General features: G+C 42.5%; 1 long non-coding RNA gene across 1 annotated transcript; it reads right to left on the bottom strand.

Annotated features, from left to right (window-relative positions):
* Positions 1 to 3,769: 3,769 nt before the first annotated feature.
* LOC107986970 (uncharacterized) lies at positions 3,770 to 8,505 on the bottom strand. Its single transcript, XR_001746051.1, has 2 exons — positions 8,412 to 8,505; positions 3,770 to 5,939 (listed from the first exon to the last, which is right to left on the bottom strand). It is a non-coding gene; the product is annotated as an uncharacterized LOC107986970 (long non-coding RNA).
* Between the last annotated feature and the right edge of the window lie 324 nt (positions 8,506 to 8,829).

Consider the following 8,829-nt stretch of genomic DNA (forward strand, 5'->3'; position numbering starts at 1 on the left):
TTAATGCATTAAACTCTTTCAACAACTCCATGGAGTATTTACTATGACCCCAGTCTTGCTGGTGAGGAAGTTGAGGCACAGAGTTATTTAATGGTGTCACCATCACAGGAGTCCTGACTGGGGGAGGTCCAGTATGAACCTAGATTTCTATCTCCTAGATCATGCCTTTATTTATTTTTAAATAACAGCTTTATTTTTATTTATTTATTTATTTATTTATTTATTTATTTATTTATTTAGAGATGGAGTCTTGCTCTGTCGCCAGGCTGGAGTGCAGTGGTGCCATCTCGGCTCACTGCAACCTCCACCTCCCGGATTCAAGCGATTCCCCTACCTCAGCCTCCTGAGTAGCTGGGACTACAGGCATGTCCCACCAGGCTCAGCTAATTTTTTGTATTTTAGTAGAGACGGAGTTTCACCATGTTGGCCAGGATGGTCTCGATCTCCTGACCTCGTGATCCGCCCACCTTGGCCTCTCAAAGTGCTGAGATTACAGGCGTGAGCCACCGCACCCTGCCAATAACAGCTTTATTGAGATATAATTCATATATGGTATAATTTATTCTTTTAAAGCATACAATTCAGTGATTTTTTAGTATATTCAGAGTTGTGCAGACATCACCATGATGAATTTTAGAGTATTTTCATCACCCCCAAAACAAACCCTCCACGCATTACTGATCTCTCCCATACTCCTTCGTTAGACCTTGGCAACCACTAATCTACTTTCTGTCTCTCCAGATTTGCCTCTTCTGGACATTTTCTCTAAATGGGGTCATATAATATGTGGTCTTTTATGACTGGCTTCTTTCACTTAGCATAATGTTTTCAAGGTTCACCCGTGTTGTAACATGTTTTAGTACTTCATTACTTTTTATTGCCAGATAGGTCACAGGTTTAACTGCTACACTGTGCTCCTCTGAGGCTGGTATTATTATTCTCATTTTACACACGAGAAAACTGAGGCTCCATGAAATAAAATAAATGACCTAAAGTCACACAGATAGCCAAAGGTGGATCTGGCATCTGCTGACCCCAAAGTCATGCCTCAAAACCCTGCCCTATTGCCTCCACAGCATGTCCTTCCTTAGAGAAGTTACCTGCACAAGGGAATTTAGTCTCACGTGTCCTGGTAACTTTCTTTTAACTTCCATGAAAGGTGATAAAGAAATGATTAAGAAAATGCACTTCAGAATTAAGCTCAGGACCAAGCTGTGTGACTTTAGACAGATCATTTAACCTTTCTACACCTCGATTTCCTCATTTGTAAGAGAAGAATAATGACATCCACATCTTAGAGTTCAAAGACACTGATTGTAAATAGTGTGGTCCAGTGCCAGGCACACAGTAAGGGCTCAGTAAATCCTAATTCAATCAATTAGAACACTGTTCTGGGGCGGGGGGTAGGCATTGAGGCAAGTCCAGGACAAAGAAGGAGGTTCAGCTGCGGAAAAAAGGAGGAAAAGAGAGAGAGCGATAAAATTACGTTGTATGAGAATGTTGTGGTTGTTTTCATGCCTGTGTCTCTAAGACAAATCAGCAACATGGAACATTTGCAAACACTTGATCCACACCAAGACGTCTGGAGAAGGCCCCAAGGGAGAGCTGCTCCGTTCTGCCCTCCCTTCAGGCCAGCTGGGGGTGCCTCACTTGTTTCCAATCCTAAATCATTTGTTGTCAAAGAATTCAAAAATTTTGAGTTGGGGGGTGGAGATTTCAGTTTTCATTCTCTGGGAAGCCAAAATAGGCTAAAACAGTAACCTCAACACAAGCATGCCAATTACATATTCAATCAAATTTATTTCTGCATTCCACTTCATGCAATTAGAGAAGATAAGTACTAGTTTCAGGATACACAGTAGGTTTCTGAGTTTTTAAATTAAATCATTTATAATTAATTGAAAATTGTCTTTCTCAAAAGCAATGCAAGCCTACTTTTGAGATCTTACTAGCAGGCCCTGTATCAATTTGGAAACTGCAGACATACAACAAGGGATATGGAAAAGACAACAACTAAAATAAGCTCTTTTTAAAACAGAAGAGAAAGAGGCAGGCTATTTAATGTTACAAGCTATAAAAGAGCAAGTTATTTCAATCACTAAATGAATTTAATTTTTGGTTTTTTGCCTGCAAATAAAGCCTTTTATTCACTTATTCAGGTAATGTGCACCTATTGGTAACATACCGATTCTGCTGCAGGTTTCAGAGAATTCATTCTTTGTCAATGAAATTTTTTAAAAAACAGTTGTTTATGCAGGGGGAACAGGAGGAGGTGAGCTGATTTGAGGACATTTTTCGATGGTTCCGTTCATGCTCAAGAAAACTGTACATGTTAGACCTAAATCATTGATCTACCTAGACCTGGACTCTGCACACTAATCTAAAATGTTTATATTTTGGAAAGCAGAGGGTGAGGGAAGAAGCACATTAGCAAAGGTTGCTTGGCACCATCCCGGGCTATTTAAAGATCATGTGTGCATTGATTCAAAGAATAATTTATAAGCATCTATTACAATAAAGACTAGAAGCTGGTGGCTGGAGAATTTTCACTGTAGTAAACCTTACTTTGGTGGCCACTAATAAACCATGCATGCCAGCACCCATGACTGGTGTCATCCCCTCCCACACCCCATCCAATGGATCTGGACTTGCCCATGGGACTGGCTTTGGCCAATGGGATATTAGCAAATATGATGTAAAGAGATGTTTGTCTTCTTGGAAAGCTTGTTTTAGGAACAAACACTCTTAAAACCTAGACTCCGTGCTGTGAGAAGCACAAATTAACCATAAGCGGGAGATTTGAGGCCCTCGCTGAGAGCCTCAGCTGAGTTCTCCACCAACGGCCAACATCAACTTGCCTTGCCTGCCATCTTGGAATAATATCCTCCAGCACCTATTGAGCCTCCCCTCATGGGTCATACTAGCCAATGCTACATTGAGAGAGATGAGCTGATCCTGCTAACTCCTGTTCAAATTTCAGAATAATGAATAGAAGAATAAACGTTGTTTTAAGCCATCATTTAGTTTTGCAGCTTTAGATAACCAAAATAGTGGTCTGACCATAGCACCAAGCACAGATGTGAAGTGAACTCTGCTCTTCCAGCCCAATATGCACCTTCCTGAATCACCAAGAGGAAGAGAGCCTGCCTCTGACCTACACTGAGAGTTTGAGAAGGCTGGCTTATGCCCTGATATTCCCAACAATATTCTCTTTAATATCAACAGCAAAAGTATCATTTATTCTGCTCTTTTTAAGTGCCAGAGACTGCCAAGAGCTATCAATGTACACATATGTAGCATATCATTTTGTCCATACACAGCCTGTGAGAAATGAAATATCTCTATAAGAAGGTTGAGGAAACTGAGACTTAACGAAGTTAAATAATTTGCCCAAGAGGTTCCAGGCGACGTTCCAGTAATAAAATTAAGATTCTAACTAGTCCTTTACTGCTAAAGCCAGCTTTCACCCGGGATATGCCTCCTTTACACTAGGAAGGCATTGCTGACCCACTTCCATAGCCTGAGTCTCACATTCTGTTACCAGCAGAGGGGTAACTACTAAGGGGATTCTACTAATCTTACAACACTCTCTAGCCTTTATCTTCCCAAGCATACATTTTTTTAGTAGTTGCCAAACATCAGGCAACTTCTGCCTTCTAGGAGGGGAAAAAAAGGAACCCATTCTTGGCAACATCCCACTCCTCATAGGTGTTCTCATCCCTGGTTCATCTCCAGCCACCAGCCACCCACCTCAGCTTCATTAAAGAGCTTGAATCACCAATGGGAAAACACCCACCCCTGGCCTGACCTGTCACAACCATACTCCTTGATGTTCTCTAGGGAAATATGCACACAGGGGACAGGGCCAGGAAAAGAAAGTGTTGTTACTGGTTGAATGCTGGACCCCAGATGTTTGTACATGCCAGTATTGTATAATCATAACTTTTATTTGCACTAGGCAACCAAAAAAAAAGTTTGTGTGACTTTCTTTACTGCAATATTTGCTTTATTGTGGCTGTCTGGAACCAAACCTGCAGTATCTCTGAGGTACGCCTGTATGTTTCAAATGTTAATAATAATAATTACAAAGGGACAAAAGAGGGAAGATGGGAAGAGGAGGAGAATGAAGATGGGTTTATGGGGGAGAAAGATAGGAGTTCTGAGGTTGAGATCTACTGTTAACACTCCTTGTCAATACAGCATGCCACCCACTAATAATAATTATTCATTTTTAAGTCTATTTGACCTGTTAAATAGTGAATTCATTGACAACAGGGATCCTGCCTTAGGTAAATTTGTAACTCCATCTTATACAGCACTGACATATACATTTTTAGGATGATGGAGACTGAATGAATATTTTTTCTTAATTTCTACAGTTTTCCTAGTTGCTGGCACCTTGGCCCTGTGTCCAAACTCCTTGTTCCACCGTTTCAGCTTCTGTGGGCCATAAATCATGATATGACAGGAAGACATTGAGAAAATTGTATTTGGCCAAGATGCAGAATCCCAAAGTCTTGAATTATGCCCTCCCACAGACTCCCTTTTCAAGGACCAAAGAAGATATACGCAGAGAAGAACAGTAAAAAACACACAGTTGTTACATGAGAATTTAGCATAGTGAACAAAGCTGGATGATGTGAAGGCCCTGCCCAGCCTAAAAGCAGACCTAAGCAGGCCTTGCTTCTTTTCCCTCTGGATTCATAGCCACGATGAGGGGAAATGAGTCCTTGGAGAATCCCACCAAGGTCAAGCAAGCCAGAGAGCATTTGCCCTTTTTAGCTGGTCTAGTGGGCAACTGCAGGGCATCCCTAGAGCAGAGTAACTATCAAGCAGGTGCAGCATGGAGCCTATTTCTGCACCTGTCATGAGGAAGAAAGAGAGAAGGAGAAAGAATGCTCCAAGAGATGACAAAGGACTCCAGAGAAACTGCTGCCACTTGGGACCCAGGGCGGATGCCCCTTACTTATTAGCAAAGATGTTCAAGCCTCTAGCATTGTGGCACAGTAAATGGCCTTGACCTTAATCCATTATCAGCATTTATCCTTGAGGATACAATTTGGAGCTTGGTGTAGAAGAGGAGCTTCCCTCAGAGGCCAGGATAGCTCTGAAGACATGGCGATTTGTTTTTCCTGGTACCTGCTATCTTACTTTGAGCTGTGGTACTTTTACCTTACTGTTTCTTGTTTTTCTACCACATCTTTGCATCTTTGCATTTTTGGTCCCATCTCTCTTGACCTTGAACTCAACGTACATGCCTTATCTCTCATGAGTTCTCTGTGTTCGGTCTTGGGAAAAGAGAACAGGAATTTTCTTCCAGTGAATTCTGGAATCTTCATTTGTCACCTTTCTCCTCACGTTTTCCTTGCTGGAAGCTGCACACACATACTCACACAACACGCATGCATCCCTTTGCCTTCTGTGGATAAATAAGATTTTGTGTCTCAGAGCACAATGCTCTCTTGGGCTCTACCTTTTGGTGATATTTTTGAAATCAATTTAAAGTACCCTTGATATCCCTTGAAAGTTTTGTAAGATTTAACCCCTTAGGGGAAGAGTCAGAGGGCCTCTCTTTACACCTTACATCCCTCACCCTTTCAATCCCTTGGGTAAGAAGAGACATCTGAAAGGTTGAGATGCAGTCTTTACTCTGAGAACCTCCCTCCAAAACTGCTTCAACTGCTGACAGCTCACAAGACAGAACGTTGAGTTAATACCCAATATTAAACAAAGTCAAAAATCAAATACATCAATCACCTAACTAAAAGCACATTTCAAAGGAAGACATAGCCAACTGGATGGCAATCCTGAGCAACACTTGCCTTGGCAGGTATCTGATGAAGACACTGCTCTGTCTTGCTTCCAAAGTCCTTCTAAGCAGGCAGCTTGGCAGGCCAGTCTTGGATGGAGAGGGATGCCTCCAGTTTCCGGAGCCAGAGCTGAGGAAGGAGAAAGTAGACCACCTGCAGGCAGTACAACACTACTTCATACTTCCCTAATGCCTCACTCACATTAGCACACTGATCTTGCCTATGACCTTCACTGAGCTAGATCAAGATCCCCATGCTGCAGTGGGAAAACAAATATCCATTGTCTACTGATACCCACTGGGTCACTTTTGCTTTTGAATTCTTGAAATCTGGATTCCCTCTCAGTGTCCTCTAGGTTACCAGTACACTTATCCCCTCCAAATCAGGGCATAGTTGCAACTAAGCAATTAAGAGAAGACTGGAGACCAGTGGGATTGGAAGGTAATGGTGTCACTGGAGTTTCTAGGCTTTTATCTATCCAGACCTCTCCAATGTCTTGTCATGCATCAATTCTCTCATCCGATCTTTTTGGGAATGCCCTCATCCTGGGTTACCAAGGAGCACCTGAAGCAGAGGATAAGTGAATGCCTTTCTCAAGGCACAGGGCAAGACATTGGTGGTCTTGATTTGCTCCATCAACCCCACCTCCCAGATTTATGTTTGAACTGTTTGATCCTGGTGCTCACATGCAGGAACAGGACACTGGAGTGTGAAACGACAAAATACACCTCTTTCCTAAAGCAAAGCAATCTATCTTGAGCACAAAGCTTGTCATGACACTAAAGCAAATCAGTGTAAACAAGGGCAGAGATGAGAACCATAATGAAGAGTTTGAGAAATTGTAAAGTGGTCCTGAAAGGAAGTGGTACCTCTTGAGAATAGTCCTATAAAGTGTATACCTGTCACTAAAAGATGCCCAAGACACTGACCTTAAGCCAATTACCATGTGTAGATCTGCTGTAACCAAAGAAGGTCACAGATATTCGATTCTGCAAAAAGCAGCTTTTAAAAATAAAAGTCAATTCTTGGCATGTGTTGCAATACTTCCCCTGTTCCAAACATAATACTGAAGCCACCCACAGGACCGCTGTCTTAGCCAAATACAGTAAGGAAACAAGCCTTCTCGGGAAAGGCCCACATGAATAGTATCCAAGGGCCAAGGTCAGGTATCAATGCAAACCGGCTGCAAAATCTCCTCTTCTAGCACCACTGGGCATACTGTAGCTGAGTAAGCCAGCGATACTCTGTCCAGCTTTCTCAAAGTGCTGCTCATAAAGACAATTCCATAGACTACAGGGACAGATGTCCGCTGGCACTCAGAACTTCAGACTCTGGGGAAGGCTCTGCCCAGTTTTTGCCTGTGAACTCAATCTCTATAAAACAGAGTTATGGCAATTGAGAAAAAGGCCTCTCATACAGTCTCCATGTAATCCAGAGTATCTGCTTTCTGAAATAATTTACTGATCTTTTCCCTATACAATTTTTTTTTTTGAGACAGGGTCTCACTCTGTTATCCAGGCTGGAGGGAGTTCAGTGGTGTGATCACGGCTCCCTGCAGCCTCAACCTTCCAGGACCAAGCAATCCTTCTACCTCTTTCCCCCAAGTAGCTAGGACCACAGGCATGCACCACCATCCCCAGTGAACTTTTTTATTTTTTGTAGGGAAGAGTTCTCCCTATGTTGTCCAGGCTCGTCTCAAACTCCTAGGCTTAAATGATCCTCCCACCTCGGCCTCCCAAAGTGCTTGGATTACAGGCGTGAGCCACAATGCCCAGCCCTATAATTCTCATTGTCATAGCTAGATCATTACATGCAGGAGGGCAGAGACGATCCAGCTCTAGAAGCAACTTTAAGCCATTAGGACTGACTGCTTCCCTCCAAACTTACCACACACTTGGGTTCAAAAAAACGGGACCATATTTCAATGTTTTGCATTATTCATGCCATAGTCCTGAACTATTCACTCTAATTCATCTCATTTCTTGTTTCCTGCACTATTTTTCCTGGCTTTTAACCTTCTAGTCTGTCTTCTGACGGATGATCTTTCCTTGCTTCTTGAATTGGGTCCTGAACCTGAGACCTTCTTCAGCAGTGGGTAAGAGAACTGGCTTTGAAGCCAGTTTTTCTTTCTTTTTTTCATATTATACTTTAAGTTCTAGGGTACATGTGCACAATGTGCAGGTTTGTTACATATGTACACATGTGCCATATTGGTGTAACTCATCATTTACATTAGGTGTATCTCCTAATGCTATCCCTCCCGCCTCCCCCACCCCACGACAGGCCCCAGTGTGTGATGTTCCCCTTCCTGTGTCCAAGTGTTCTCACTATTCAGTTCCCACCTATGAGTGAGAACATGTGGTGTTTGGTTTTTTGACTGGATTAAGAAAATGTGGCACATATACACCATGGAATACTATGTAGCCATAAAAAAGGATGAGTTCATGTCTTTGTAGGGACATGGATGAAGCTGGAAGCCAGTTTTTCTAAATTCAAATCCTGATGCTGTCATTTATTAACAGTATGATCCTGGACAAGTTATTTTAATTTTCTAAACTTTAATTTTCTTAACTGTAAAGTGGTGCTCATAATAGCACCTACCTCTTGGTCTGCAGTCCAGTGCTCCTGGCCGGGCGCGGTGGCTCATGCCTGTAATCCCAGCACTTTAGGAGGCGGAGGTGGGTGAATCCGCTGAGGTTAGGAGTTCGAGACCAGCCTGGCCAACATGGCAAAACCCCATCCCTACTAAAAATACCAAAAAAATAAAATAAAAATAAATAGCCATGCGTGGTAGTGCACATCTGTAGTCCCAGCTACTGGGGAGGCTGAGGTGGGAGAATCACTTGAACCCAGGAGGCGGAGGTTGCAGTGAGCCAAGATTGTGCCACTGCACTCTAGCCTGGGCAACAGAGCAAGACTCCCTCTCAATAATAACAATAATAATAACAATAATAGCACCTACCTCTTGGAATTCTTGAGAAGATAAAATGGTTTATATCCAAAACAATTAGAACAACAA

The sequence above is a fragment of the Homo sapiens genome, chromosome 8 (assembly GCF_000001405.40).
Source record: "Homo sapiens chromosome 8, GRCh38.p14 Primary Assembly".
NCBI lineage: Eukaryota > Metazoa > Chordata > Mammalia > Primates > Hominidae > Homo > Homo sapiens.